At 41.1% G+C, this 15,483-nt stretch overlaps 3 annotated features.

The window, feature by feature from the left end:
* Positions 10,443-10,962: an enhancer, noted in NCBI's record as "active region_6799". NCBI's record gives its function as "activates an Ori minimal core promoter by ATAC-STARR-seq in GM12878 lymphoblastoid cells {active_cell/tissue: GM12878}" and the evidence as "EXISTENCE:reporter gene assay evidence [ECO:0000049][PMID:35858748]".
* Positions 12,553-13,192: an enhancer, noted in NCBI's record as "OCT4-NANOG-H3K27ac hESC enhancer chr12:95209587-95210226 (GRCh37/hg19 assembly coordinates)". NCBI's record gives its function as "activates a minimal SCP1, AML or CMV promoter by ChIP-STARR-seq in naive H9 embryonic stem cells {active_cell/tissue: H9 hESC(naive)}" and the evidence as "EXISTENCE:reporter gene assay evidence [ECO:0000049][PMID:30033119]".
* Positions 12,943-13,032: an enhancer, noted in NCBI's record as "active region_6798". NCBI's record gives its function as "activates an Ori minimal core promoter by ATAC-STARR-seq in GM12878 lymphoblastoid cells {active_cell/tissue: GM12878}" and the evidence as "EXISTENCE:reporter gene assay evidence [ECO:0000049][PMID:35858748]".

Here is a 15,483-nt window from a genome sequence, read left to right as displayed (position 1 = left end):
CTTTAAGTTCTAGGGTACATGTGGACAATGTGCAGGTTTGTTACATATGTATACAGGTGCCATGTTGGTGTGCTGCACCCATTAACTCATCATTTACATTAGGTCTATCTCTTAATGCTATCCCTCCCTCCTCCCGCCACCCCATGACAGGCCCTGGTGTGTGATGTTCCCCACCCTGTGTCCAAGTGTTCTCATTGTTCAGTTCCCACCTGTGAGTGAGAACATGCGGTGTTTGGTTTTCTGTCCTTGCGATTGTTTGCTCAGAATGATGGTTTCAAGCTTCATCCATGTCACTACAAAGGGCATGAACTCATCCTTTTTTATGGCTGCATAGTATTCCATGGTGTATATGTGCCACATTTTCTTAATCCAGTCTATCATTGATGGACATTTGGGTTGGTTCCAGGTCTTTGCTATTGTGAATAGTGCCACAGTAAACATATGTGTGCATGTGTCTTTATAGCAGCATGATTTATAATCCTTTGCATATTTATAGCAGCATGATTTATAATCCTTTGCGTATATACCCAGTAATGCGATGGCTGGGTCAAATGGTATTTCTAGTTCTAGATCCTTGAGGAATCGCCACACTGTCTTCCACAGTGGTTGAACTAGTTTACAGTCCCACCAACAGTGTAAAAGTGTTCCTATTTCTCCACATCCTCTCCAGCACCTGTTGTTTCCTGACTTTTTTGGTCCATATGAACAGTTAGAATGACTTCGCCATTCTAACTGGTGTGAGCTGGTATCTCATTGTGGTTTTGATTTGCATTTCTCTGATGACCAGTGATGATGAGCATTTTTTCACGTGTCTGTTGGCTGCATAAATGTCTTCTTTTGAGAAGTGTCTGTTCTTGTCCTTTGCCCACTTTTTGTTGGGGTTGTTTGATTTTTTTCTTGTAAATTTGTTTAAGTTATTTGTAGATTCTGGATATTAGCCCTTTGTCAGATGGGTAGGTTGTACAAATTTTCTCCCATTCTGTAGGTTGCCTGTTCACTCTGATGGTAGTTTCTTTTGCTGTGCAGAAGTTCTTTAGTTTAATTAGATCCCGTTTGTCAATTTTGTCTTTTGTTGCCATTGCTTTTGGTGTTTTAGTCATGAAGTCCTTGCCTATGCCTATGTCCTGAATGGTAATGCCTAGGTTTTCTTCTAGGGTTTTTATGGTTTTAGGTCTAACATTTAAGTCTTTAATCCATCTTGCATTAATTTTTGTATAAGGTGTAAGGAAGGGATCCAGTTTCAGCTTTCTACATATGGCTAGCCAGTTTTCCCAGCACCATTTATTAAACGGGAATCCTTTCCCCATTTCTTGTTTTTGTCAGGTTTGTCAAAGATCAGATGGTTGTAGATGTGTGGTATTATTTCTGAGGACTCCGTTCTGTTCCATTGGTCTATCTCTCTGTTTTGGTACCAGTATCATGCTGTTTTGGTTACTGTAGCCTTTGGTTACTGTAGCCTTGTAGTATAGTTTGAAGTAGTATAGTAGTGTGATGCCTCCAGCTTTGTTCTTTTGGCTTAGGATTGTCTTGGCAATGTGGGCTCTTTTTTGGTTCCATATGAACTTTAAAGTAGTTTTTTTCCAATTCTGTGAAGAAAGTCATTGGTAGCTTGATGGGGATGGCATTGAATCTATAAATTACCTTGGGCAGTATGGCCATTTTCACAATATTGATTCTTCCTGTCCATGAGCATGGAATGTTCTTCCATTTGTTTGTGTCCTCTTTTATTTTGTTGAGCAGTGGTTTGTAGTTCTCCTTGAAGAGGTCCTTCACATCCCTTGTAAGTTGGATTCCTAGGTATTTTATTCTCTTTGAAGCAATTGTGAATGGGAGTTCACTCATGATTTGGCTCTCTGTCTGTTATTGGTGTATAGGAATGCTTATTTTTGCACATTGATTTTGTGTCCTGAGACTTTGCTGAAGTTGCTTATCAACTTAAGAAGATTTTGGATTGAGACGATGGAGTTTTCTAAATATACAATCATGTCATCTGCAAACAGGGACAATTTGACTTCCTCTTTTCCTAATTGAATAACCTTTATTTCTTTCTCCTGCCTGATTGCCGTGGCCAGAACTTCCAACACTATGTTGAATAGGAGTGGTGAGAAAGGGCATCCCTGTGTTGTGGCAGTTTTCAAAGGGAATACTTCCAGTTTTTGCCCATTCCATATGATATTGCCTGTGGGTTTGTCATAAATAGCTCTTGTTATTTTGAGATACGTCCCATCAATACCTAGTTTATTGAGAGTTTTTAGCATGAAGGGCTGTTGAATTTTGTCAAAGGCCTTTTCTGCATCTATTGAGATAATCATGTGGTTTTTGTCTTTGGTTCTGTTTATATGATGGATTACATTTGTTGATTTGCGTATGTTGAACCAGCCTTGCATCCCAGGGATGAAGCCCACTTGATCATGGTGGATAAGCTTTTTGATGTGCTGCTGGATTCCGTTTGCCAGTATTTTATTGAGGATTTTTGCATCGATGTTCATCAGGGATATTGGTCTAAAATTCTCTTTTTTTGTTGTGTCTCTGCCAGGCTTTGGTGTCAGGATGATGCTGGCCTCATAAAATGAGTTAGGGAGGATTCCCTCTTTTTCTATTGATTAGAATAGTTTCAGAAGGAATGGTACCAGCTCCTCTTTGTACCTGTGGTAGAATTCGGCTGTGAATCCGTCTGGTCCTGGACATTTTTTGGTTGGTAGGCTATTAATTATTGCTTCAATTTCAGAGCCTGTTATTGGTCTATTCAGAGATTCAACTTCTTCCTGGTTTAGTCTTGAGAGGGTGTGTGGGTGCAGGAATTTATCCATTTCTTCTAGATTTTCTAGTTTATTTGCATAGAGGTGTTTATAGTATTCTCTGATGGTAGTTTGTATTTCTGTGGGATCGGTGGTGAGATCCCCTTTATCATTTTTTATTGCATCTATTTGATTCTTCTCTCCTTTCTTCTTTATTAGTCTTGCTAGCGGTTTATCAATTTTGTTGATCTTTTCCAAAAACCAGCTCCTGGAGTCATTGATTTTTTTTTGAAGGGTTTTTTGTGTCTCTATCTCCTTCAGTTCTGCTCTGATCTTAGTTATTTCTTGCCTTCTGCTAGCTTTTGAATATGTTTGCTCTTGCTTCTCTAGTTCTTTTAATTGTGATGTTAGGGTACCCATTTTAGATCTTTCCTGCTTTCTCTTGTGGGCATTTAGTGCTATAAATTTCCCTCTACACACTGCTTTAAATGTGTCCCAGAGATTCTGGTATGTTGTGTCTTTGTTCTCATTGGTTTCAAAGAACATCTTTATTTCTGCCTTCATTTCGTTATGTACCCAGTAGTCATTCAGGAGCAGGTTGTCCAGTTTCCATGTAGTTGAGTGGTTTTGAGTGAGTTTCTTAATCCTGAGTTGTAGTTTGATTGCACTGTGGTCTGAGAGACAGTTTGTTATAATTTCTATGCTTTTACATTTGCTGAGGAGTGCTTTACTTCTAACTATGTGGTCAATTTTGGAATAAGTGTGATGTGGTGCTAAGAAGAATGTATATTCTGTTGATTTGGGGTGGAGAGTTCTGTAGATGTCTATTAGGTCCGCTTTGTGCAGAGCTGAGTTCAAGTCCTGGATATCCTTGTTAACTTTCTGTCTCGTGGATCTGTCTAACATTGACAGTGGGGTGTTAAAGTCTCCCATTATTATTGTGTGGGAGTCTAAGTCTCTTTGTAGGTCTCTAGGGACTTGCTTTATGAATCTGGGTGCTCCTGTATTGGGTGCATATATATTTAGGATAGTTAGCTCTTCTTGTTGAATTGATCCCTTTACCATTATGTAATGGCCTTCTTTGTCTCTTTTGATCTTTGTTGGTTTAAAGTCTGTTTTATCAGAGACTAGGATTGCAGCCCCTGCTTTTTTTTGTTTTCCATTTGCTTGGTAGATCTTCCTCCATCCCTTATTTTGAGCCTATATGTGTCTCTGCACATGAGATGGGTTTCCTGAATACAGCACACTGATGGGTCTTGACTCTTTATCCAGTTTGCCTGTCTGTGTCTTTTAATTGGAGCATTTAGCCCATTTACATTTAAGGTTAATATTGTTATGTGTGAATTTGATCCTGTCATTATGATGTTAGCTGGTTATTTTGCTCGTTACTTGATGCAGTTTCTTCCTAGCCTCGATAGTCTTTAAAATTTGGCATGTTTTTGCAGTGTCTGGTACTGGCTGTTCCTTTCCATGTTTAGTGCTTTCTTCAGGAGCTCTTGTAGGGCAGGCCTGGTGGTGACAAAATCTCTCAGCATTTGCTTGTCTGTAAAGTATTTTATTTCTCCTTCACTTATGAAGCTTAGTTTGGCTGGATATGAAATTTTGGGTTGAAAATTCTTTTCTTTAAGAATGTTGAATATTGACCCCCACTCTCTTCTGGCTTGTAGAGTTTCTGCTGAGAGATCTGCTGTTAGTCTGATGGGCTTCCCTTTGTGGGTAACCTGACATTTCTCTCTGGCTGCCCTTAACATTTTTTCCTTCATTTTCAACTTTGGTGAATCTGACAATTATGTGTCTTGGAGCTGCTCTTCTCGAGGAGTATCTCTGTGGTGTTCTCTGTATTTCCTGAATTTGAATGTTGGCCTGCCTTGCTAGGTTGGGGAAGTTCTCCTGGATAATGTCCTGAGGAGTATTTTCCAACTTGGGTTCCATTCTCCCTGTCACTTTCAGGTACACCAATCAGACATAGATTTGGTCTTTTCACATAGTCCCATATTTCTTGGAGGCTTTGTTTGTTTCTTTTTACTCTTTTTTCTCTAAACTTCTCTTCTCACTTCATTTCATTCATTTGATCTTCAGTCACTAATACCCTTTCTTCCAGTTGATTGAATCGGCTACTGAAGCTTGTGCATGCATCACATAGTTCTTGTGCCATGGTTTTCAGCTCCATCAGGTCATTTAAGCTTTTATCTACGCATTTATTCTAGTTAGCCATTCGTCTAATCTTTTTTCAAAGTTTTTAGTTTCTTTGTGATGGGTTTGAACATCCTCCTTTAGCTCAGAGAAGTTTGTTATTACCAATCGTCTGAAGCCTACTTCTGTCAGCTTGTCAAAGTCATTCTCCGTCCAGCTTTGTTCCATTGCTGGCGAGGAGCTGCGTTCCTTTGGTGGAGAAGAGGCGCTCTGATTTTTAGAATTTTCAGCTTTTCTGCTCTGGTTTCTCCCCATCTTTGTGGTTTTATCTACCTTTGGTCTTTGATGATGGTGACGTACAGATGGGGTTTTGGTGTGGATGTCCTTTCTGTTTGTTAGTTTTCTTTCTAACAGTGAGGACCCTCAGCTGCAGGTCTGTTGGAGTTTGCTGGAGGTCCACTCCAACCCTGTTTGCCTGGGTATCACCAGCGGAGGCTGCAGAACAGCAAATATTACAGAACAGCAAATATTCCTTCCTCTGGAAGCTTTGTCTCAGAGGGGCACCTGGCTGTATGAGGTGTCAGTCGGCCCCCTACTGGAAGGTGTCTCCCAGTTAGGCTACTTGGAGGTCAGGGACCCACTTGAGGAGGCAGTCTGTCCGTTCTCACATCTCAAACTCCGTGCTGGGAGAACCACTACTCTCTTCAATGCTGTCAGACAGGGACGTGTAAGTCTGCAGAAGTTTCTGCTGCTTTTTGTTCAGCTATGCCCTGCCCCCAGAGGTGGTGTCTACAGTGGCAGGCAGGCCTCCTTGAGCTGCAGTGGGCTCCACCCAGTTCGAGTTTCTGGGCCGCTTTGTTTACCTACTCAGGCTTAAGCAATGGCAGATGCCCCTCCCCTAGCCTTGCTGCTACCTTGCAGTTCGATCTTAGACTGCTGTGCTGGCAGTGAGCAAGGCTCCGTGGGCTTGGGACCCTCCGAGCCAGGCGTGGGATAAAATCTCCTGGTGTGCTGTTTGCTAAGACCATTGGAAAAGCGCAGTATTAGGGTGGGAGTGTCCCGATTTTCCAGGTGCTATCTGTCACGGCTTCCCTTGGCTAGGAAAGGGAATTCCCCGACCCTTTGTGTTTCCCGGGTGAAGCGATGCCCCGCCCTGCTTCACCTAACACTCCCTGGGCTGCACCCACTGTCTGACAAGCCCCAGTGAAATGAACCCGGTACCTCAGATGGAAGTGCAGAAATCATCTGTCTTCTGGGTCACTTACGCTGAGAGCTGTAGACTGGAGCTGTTCCTATTCGGCCATCTTGGAACCCACTCAGCTGTTTATATATTTTCTTTGGTGAAATGTCCATTCAATTTTTGGCCTATTTTTATTTTTATTTATTTATTTATTTATTTTTAAGGTGAAGTCTTGCTCTGTCACCTAGGTGGGAGTGCAGTGGCACAGTCTTGGCTCACTGCAACCTCTGCCTCCTAGGTTCAAGCGATTCTCCTGCCCCAGACTCCCAAGTAGCTGGGATTACAGGCATGCTCTACCATGCTTGGCTAATTTGTGTATTTTTAGTAGAAACGGAGTTTCACTATGTTGATCAGGCTGGTCTTGAACTCCTGACCTCAGGTGATCTGCCTGCCTTGGCCTCTCAAAGTTCAGGGATTACAGGCGTGAGCCACCACACCCGGCCTGGCCTATTTTTAAATTGAGTTCCTTGTCTTATTATTGAGTTGTGAGAGTTCTTTATATATTCTGGATATAAGTGCCTTATCAGATATCATTTATAAATATTTTCACCCATCTGTGGCTTGCATTTCATTTTCCTTTTCTTTCACTGGTAAATATGTAGAGTAATTAATTAATTTTCTTAATGGTGACTTTTGAAGAGAGCTTTTAATTCTGAAGTCCAGTTAATCAATTTTTTCTTTTATAGTTTGTGTTTGGCCTTTGCCTCTTAGCACCCAAATATTCCTGTCTCTTTGGTTTATTCTTAGTTTAGATGTCCCAATTTTTACTCTTTCATTCTCCCTGGATCTACATTTATTCCTGTTTGAGGACAGAAGGCAAAGCCCAGCCTCCAAGTTCTCTTGCTAATACACTGTGTTGGGCACCTTCCTGGAATTGTGTGTTCAGGCCTTTGGTAACTATGCAGGCCTTTGGTAACTTTGGCTACCAAATCTTGAGATAGAAGGTGAAATTAGACCTTCCTCAGCAATTTACAATTGAAGTCAGATAAGAAAAATGACTGCTTTATATGCAAATTTTTCTTTTTTAAAAAATTAGTTGAGTGCTTCTCTACTTATTGATAAACATCAATAATTATAAAAATATCCCTTACATTGCTTTAAAGGTTTTCAGAGTTAATTTACCTTTATCTTCTCATTTAGGTCCTTTTGCAGATAAGAAATACAAGAGTTTAAGTAGAATAAAAGGGTATTTAACACAAATTAGTTAATATTGGAGACACAAGTATTATTTGATCATTTTTTCCAGAGTCTACCAAGAATTTATTTATTTATTTATTTTGAGATGGAGTCTTGCTCTGTCGCCAGGCTGGAGTGCAGTGGTGCGATCTCAGCTCACTGCAACCTCCGACTCCCTGGTTCAAGCAATTCTCCTGCCTCAGCCTCCCAAGTAGCTGGGATTACAGGCACATGCCACCACACCCAGCTAATTTTTGTATTTTTTTTTAGAGACAAGGTTTCACCATGTTGGCCAGGATGGTTTCGATCTCCTGACCTTGTGATTCGCCTGCCTCGGCCTCCCAAAGTGCTGGGATTACAGGCGTGAGCCACTGCGCCTCGCCCCAAGAATATTTACCATTCACCATGCAAAAATGAGTGGGAGGAGAGGGTAGCACTGGGCTCTGTCTACTAATCTGATGAAGCTCAGCTATAGTCAGAACCATAGAATTGCAGATTCTTGATGCTGAAAGGGGCCTTGAAACTTCAGAGTGCATCCCTTCACCCACCAGAGGAATCCTTAGATTGCTCTTGTTGGTTGATAATCTTCTGGCTCCCAGGCACTTTCAAAAAGAAAGCTTAAAACTTTTCAAGCCCGTGGGATCAATTCTTGGATAATTTTAAGTATTGGAAAATCATTTTATGTATGGAGCCTAACTTAGCCTCCCCTGTAAATTTCACCCGTTGGTGACACAAAACAACTAGTGCCATTCTTTATTGGCAGCTCTTCAAATATCGAAGAGTACCTTAAACCATCACTTCCATGGTTGCCACCTGTTCTATCAACTATTTTGTGTTTAATTTGGATTCCAGACTTACAGCTGTGATAGTCACTTCTTGCTAGATGCAATTCCGATTGTCTATATCTTTTGTGCCTAAATCAAACCTACACATCAGATATGGCCTGGCTGGGAGAGTTTTGTGAGCCTGTTAGCTCCTTTGCTCTGGGTGAGGGCTGCCCAGTGGTGTTAGTTACTTATCAGCTACATTGCAGTGCTGACACGTGTTGGGCTTGTGATTAGCCAAAACGCAAATTTTATTTTCTCCTGTGGATTTTGGCTAAGCCAGTTCTCTAATATCTTTTCTTATGTAATTGCTATCTTCAATATAAATGCAGGGATTTACAGTTAATATTACTATTTAACATTAATGATAATACTAGTAACTAGCATCTTTTGAGGACTTACTATATTTATCTTGTTGGGTTTTCCCCAGGATGTGCCTCTTGGGATCATTTTGAATCTTATTTCTTCCCTTTTCTTGGTTTTTCTCTCTACTGAGAGAAATGTTTGTATATTTAGTTCCTACCCATCTGGGTCTCCTGTCTGCCCAGATATATTTTAATTTTGGCTAGTTTATAGTGATGGTAGGATTGTAAGACCTCATGGAAGGAATTAAAGCCACCCAGATTTCTGCATGTATATCCATGTATTCCTCCATTGATATGGTTCGACTGTGTCCCCACCCAAATCTTATCTTGAATTATAGTTCCCATAATCCCCACCTGTTGGCCATTGGGGCAGTTATGGTTGGGTGGCCTGATGAGGGGGTCAAGATGCTTCCCCAAGTGCCTAATTTTATGTAAGCTTCTGGTGCTAGCAAAAAGGAGCCTTACATTACAGATAGATATTGAGGATTCTGGAAAAAATTTCCAGTCATAGAACTAAGATAATGCTCTAGAGATTGGAGTCTTTGGAGATAGTTTTTCGAGGACCCTGCCACCATCCAGCTTCCTCTCTGCTCAGGACTCCTTTAATCTGGTGTCAGTGGATTTCTCCCATCACTTTGGACATGTTCCAATTAGATTGTAATGCACCAGCATTCTTCTCCTTGACTTAAAAAAAACAGGAGGAGAATTATATTCCTTTTGTTGATAGGATTTCTCTTATAGTGTCATCATCTTCCTTTTTCTTATGCTCCCGATCTTCTGAAATCATGCTTCCCTGTGAGCCATTCCTGAATTTTTTGGTGTGTTCCCTGAGTATGGGACACACCTCAGATGGATCCGGGGATAGTTTCTTTTTGACTTGATCCAAGATATACCTCTTCATGAAAATGTATGTTGATCAGGGACTGTGGGTATGTATAGGGTCAACATTCTCTCCCATCTGCTTTTAAGTAAGTGCTGACTTTGCCAGGCCAGGTGAATGAGCCTACAGTCATTTTAAGGTGGAAATAATTGGTTAGTTTAGACTATTTCAGCATTTCCAACACCTAGATTCTAGTAGATATTCCTTGAAAAAGGTGTTAGCAGTGGTGAGTCCATACAGGTCTGCAGCAACCTCAATTCTTCCCTCTTCAGAAGAAAATATTTGACACAGAGACCAAGGCAAGTTTTAGAGGAATGAAAGTTTATTCAAAAGCTTTACAGCAGGAATGAAAGGAAGTGAACTTGGAAGAGGGCCAAGGGGGTGACTGGAGAGATCAAGTGCATGGATTCCCCATTGACTTGGGATTTTATATGTTGTCATATTTCCAGGAGCTTGTGTCCCTTGTCTCCTGATTCTTCCCTTGGGTGGGCTCTCCGCATCCGCAGTGGCTGCCAGCACTTAGGAGTGATGCATGCACGGTATGTTTACTGGAGTTGTACGCATGCTCACTCGAGGCATTCTTCTCTTACCAGTTGAATGTTCCTAGAAGGTCATATACCAGTTAAACTTTGCCATTTTGCCTCTTTTTTGCTTGAGCCCACTGGCCCAACTCCTGAGATCTTATCAGGAAACTGCTGATTCCCAGCTTCAGGTGTTTCTATCTATTGGGAGACTGCCTTTCTCTGGTGCTGGCTGTGACCAATTATTATTTTATTTTATTTTATTCTTTTATTTAGATTCTCGCTCTGTAGCCTAGGCTGGAGTGCAGTGGTGCGATCTCGGCTCACTGCAACCTCCGCCTCCCAGGTTCAAGCGATTCTCCTGCCTCAGGCTCCCGGGGAAGCTGGGATTACAGGTGCCCGCAACCATGCCCTGCCAATTTTTGTATTTTTATTAGAGATGGGGTTTCACTGTGTTGGCCAAGCTGGTCTCAAACTCCAGACCTCAAGAGATCCGCCTGCCTCAGCCTCCCAAAGTGCTGGGATTACAGGTGTGAGCCACCGTGCCCGGCCCAATTATTATTTTAGAGAGACAGTTAACAACTGCCTGACCTCAGTGGTTGCCTGACACTCCTGGAGTGGGGCAGGGGAGCCCTCTTCTGCCCTGCTCAGGTCTAACTAGCTACCTACTATCACAAAAGGAGTCTGGTTAAAAAGGTATTGTGGCAAAAGGGAGTATAGTATGGGTTCCCCAACCTTACTTGGCCGCAACACCTTTGTGTGGCTGAGCATCTTGGGATCAGCAGCCTGCAGGACACTGGAAATTGCTGGACTGAAGGTCAGTGATCTGAGAGACAGGAAAGTACCCGCAGCGAGACAGTGCGAAGAGAGCAATTTTAGAAATACTTCTGCTTTTGTTTCTCAGTTTTTGTTTCTCGGTGCTTATTTTTAACCTAAGTAGTAGTCATTTGAAGCTCTCAGAAGCTCATGGGCTCTTATCAGATGAAAGTACCCCAGACCTTGCAGGATTAGGAACATCATCTGGCCTGAACAGAAGGTAAAATTGCTGTCTGATTTTCTTTTTAGAGAAACCTGTTAGTGAAGCTGGCGATTCAGTTCTTTCTGGTATACATTTAGGACCTGTTAAATATATATTCTGCCTCAAGGGGAAATCATATTCTAAAAAGTAAACAATTCATAGGCAATTCTTGTACCTTGAGAATCCATTAATGGCTTTCAGAAGGCAAATTTTGTTGTCAAGGGGACAGGTTATATGGGCAACTTGCTTCTATTAATACTTTTCTGGGCAGATTAACTAAATGAACTAATATTTAACTTGGTCTAATAGAATGTTAGCCAGAACAGTGCCTGGTAACAACAACAATAATACTAGCTAACATTTCTTAAGTGGTCACTATGTCCCATAACTATTATACATGTGTTAACTAATTTAATCCTCACAAAAATGCAATGAGGTAGCTGTTATTTTTACTCCCACTTTATAAATGAGAAAATATAGTAATATAGCATATTTTACATATATACAGTAATATTGTAGCAGGACGAGCTGCAGACAAAACCCCTCAGACACCGAGTTAAGGAAGGGCTTTATTCGGCTGGGAGCGTCGGCAAGACTCACGTCTCCAACAACTGAGCTCCCCAAGTGAGCAATTCCTGTCCCTTTTAAGGGCTTACAACTCTAAGGGGGTCCGCGTGAGAGGATCGTGATCGATTGAGCAAGCTGGGAGTACGTGACTGGGGGCTGCATGCACTGGTAATCAGAACGGAACAGGACAGGGATTTTCACAATGCTTTTCCATATAATGTCTGGAATCTATAGATGACATAACCGCTTAGGTTAGGGGTCGATCTTTAACTACCAGGCCCAGGGCTCAGCGCTGGGCTGTCTGCCTGTGGATTTCATTTCTGCCTTTTAGTTTTTACTTCTTTATTTGGAGGCAGAAATTGGGTGTAAGACAATATGAGGGGTGGTCTCCTCCCTTAATATAGCATAATAGTGAGGCTAGAACCAGTGATTGGCTCTGTATTCATAAGAGTGAGTAACAAAGCAAAGCAGATTTTACAGTAAGTTCTTTCTTTTTTTTTTTTTTTTTTTTTTTTTTTTGAGACAGTCTCGCTCTGTGATCCAAGCTGGAGTGCAGTGGTGCGATCTAGGCTCATGGCCCGCCTCCCAGGTTCAAGCAATTCTTGTGCCTCAGCCTCCTAAGTAGGTGGGGTTCCAGGCCCCAGCCACCACACCCGGCTAATCTTTGTATTTTTAGCAGAGATGGGTTTTCACTATGTTGGCCAGGCTGGTCTTGAACTCCTGGCCTCAAGTGATTTGCCTGCCTTGGCCTCCCAAAGTGCTGGGGTTATAGGCGTGAGCCACTGCTCCCAGCCTATAGTACAGTTCTTTAATTTTGAGATTGAGCTCAGTTTCATAAAATCCTAGGTAGCATGTAATATATAATTAATTTTGGATTACTTTGTTCTCCTTTAGATATCTATCATAGGATTTTTAACTTCTAATTTGGAATTTTTAGACATCAGTAGATAGTATAAAAATGGAATTTACTTATGTATTTATTCAACAGCCTTTTTGGGGGCCAGTTTCTGAATTTGATTTTAGGGATGCAAAGATGACAGAGCCCATAGTTCCCTGTACTTACAGAGATGTCATCAAATGGCAAAGAGGTATAATCCTTCAAGCAGTTATCATTTCTTATGCCGTGATAGGAAAAGTGGTTTCATAAATCTTACTTTAAAAAGTCAAAGAGAAAAAGTCTGTAGGCTGCCTGCCGTGGGTCTGGACGCCAGGGAGGTGTCACACCTCTCAGATGACTTTTGAGTTGTTCCCCAGCCCTGGCTCGATTTCACCCAGAGCCCTCAGCTGCAGCTGGTAGCGTAATGTTGCTCCCGAATGTGGGTTTCTTAAGGCTGGGGAGAGGGCTTATCAGGGAGAGAGATCATGTGCTGTGAAAGGAGCACCACAGGCCCCTTTGATGATCTCCTTAAATGCCCTTTTCAACAGGGTCAGGTGTGCTTTTTGTAATGCAAATGAAGAGAGGAAAGCTGAGCGCAGGAGAGTTCTCTCGTGAGGGAAAGAGAAAGGCTGGCAGTGTGCTTGGCTGTGATGGAACTCATTTGACACTGAGGACTGGGTTATTCTTGTTTGTTTGTTTGTTTGTTTTCTTTTTGAGACAGAGTCTCGCTCTGTTGCCCAAGCTGGAGTGCAGTGACGTGATCTCGGCTCACTGCAACTTTCACCTCCTGGGTTCAAGTGATTCTCATGTCTCTGCCTCCCGAGTAGCTGGGATTACAGGTGTGCACCACCTCACCTGGATAATTTTTGTATTTTTAATAGAGACAGGGTTTCACCATGTTGGCCAGGTTGGTCTCAAACTCTTGACCTCAAGTGATCTGCTTGCCTCAGCCTCTCAAAGTGCTGTAATAATAGGCGTGAGTCACCTCACCTGGCCAGGACTAGGTTATTGATCATGGTGAGCAGGGGCCAGGGCCCTGGAGGCCTGTGTTTACTCATATTAGGCCCTGGCCATAAAGCCCATGCTTCCTTGCTTGAATCAACTTTAAAGGAAAGCAGGGGGGAGGGAGGGGATAGGAGCCAATGTCTCTGGGAAATTCTGCACCAAGACTCATTTTAAGTCAGTAGGCAGGGTTCTGAGCTCTTTCTTAGAGAAGCCAACTCTAGCAGCCAACCTCGGCCCTTACTGTAATCTGAAAGTGCCATGCCCCCGAAATCCAAGTTGCTATTTGGTGTGCTGTAATGATTAAATATTCATTTGTCTAACGGATTGTGTGATTTCACAGTTTAGCGATACTCTCTAGATGAAATAATTGGCCAAAAGCAATGTTGGGAGGTTTTGTTTTTGAAAAATGTTTATTGAATGTTTCATATGTGCCAGATGTTATTCTAAGTACTTTTCATCTCCTTAACTCAGTTAAATTTCACCACAGCCCTGTGAAGTCTGCACTACTGTCCCCTGGATTTTTATCTGTTTTGTATATTCCCATATCCCAGTGCTTGGCACATAAAAGACACTCAATATTTGTTGGACAAATGAATACATAAATGAATAAATCTCATATGGCTAGACATTTTGGCTTTCCAGATAACATCATGGGAGTTGGTCCTGTGGTAGATCCTGTGTCAACAGCAAGGACAGAAAGACACAGATGTTCCAATTCTGGTTTAGAAAAAAGCTTTCAGAACTAACTGCATTATTACTCTGATGGAAGACTTCCTTTTTAAAGCACCAAAATATTTCAGATGTTATACTTGGCCTAGATAGATGTTAAGTGGAAATTGTCTACATCTGGTAAGAAATGGGTTAATTGATTAGATTCTGAAATTGAGTAAGTAGTTTTTAAATTTTTTTATTGCTACAGCCATAGACTTTGGTAGGTCCTCATTGGTGCCACTTAGGGTATCTAGATGATTGTATGATTATAGTAAAAGCCAGTATTTATTAGGCTTTACCTATATACCTGGAGCGATTTTCAGTGTTTTACAGGCATTAACATTTTAATAACCCATGAAGTAGGTACTATTATTATTTCCATTTTACAAATAAAATAAGTAAGTGTTGAGAGATGGACCAACATCACATACCTAGTAAGTGATAGAACCAAATTCAAACCTGGTTAGGCTAGCCCAGAGTCTGTTTCTTAACTATTATACTCTAATGCCTTTGATATACAAAGTACTTGGAGAAATCTTACACAAAAAAGAGCCTATCTCTTTGAGGGAAAAGAAAGAAAAATCTTTTCTGCCATTCTTCTTTTCCCATACTGTTCCAGCTGTCTGACATGCTCCCCTCTTTATTCCGGCACTTCTGAAAAAGATCTAGTCACTAAAAAAATTTTCAGCTCAACCAAGATAAAGCTGGTATGACTTAAGGTGATTCCAGTTTTTTGCCTTGTTTTTCTAGTTGTTCCATCATGATACTGTATGTCTTGTACACTTTATTTTAAAATTAGCATTTCAAACTGAAAGAAAACTTAGAGCAACCTAGTTTGATTAATGTTGCCTCAGTTTCAATAGTATACACTCTGCTCCTATAGATCTCCATCCTTCCTCCTTTATATTGTTATTGCCACAGATTATATCCTTATATAGTTTGTGCTCATTAACACAGATTTATTGTTTTATGCATTTTCCTTTTAAATCACTTTGGGGAAAAAAAGCATAGTTACAAAGCAAAAGTACAATAATATTGGCTTTTATATTTACCTATTTAGTTAACTGTGCCAATTTATTTATTCCTTTTTATGGCTTTGAGTTATTGTCTAGTGTTCTTTCATTCTAGCCCAGAGGACTACCTTTATCATTTCATGTATGGCAGGTCTACTGGTAATGATTTCCTTTACCTTCTAATTATATAGAAATGTCATAATTTCTCCTTTATTCTTGAATGATAGTTTTGTGGGATATAGACTTGCTGGATATAGAATTACTGGATATAGAATTGCCAGATATAAAATTCTTGGTTCAAAGTTTTTTTTCTTTGAGGACTTTGAATGTCATCCCACTGTCTTCTGGCCTCCATAGTTTCTCATAATAAATCAGCTGTTAATCTTCATTAAGTTTCCTCTGTACACGAAGAGTC

Source organism: Homo sapiens, chromosome 12, assembly GCF_000001405.40.
Source record: "Homo sapiens chromosome 12, GRCh38.p14 Primary Assembly".
Classification (NCBI taxonomy): domain Eukaryota; kingdom Metazoa; phylum Chordata; class Mammalia; order Primates; family Hominidae; genus Homo; species Homo sapiens.
This window is presented reverse-complemented; position numbering and strand designations above follow the sequence as displayed.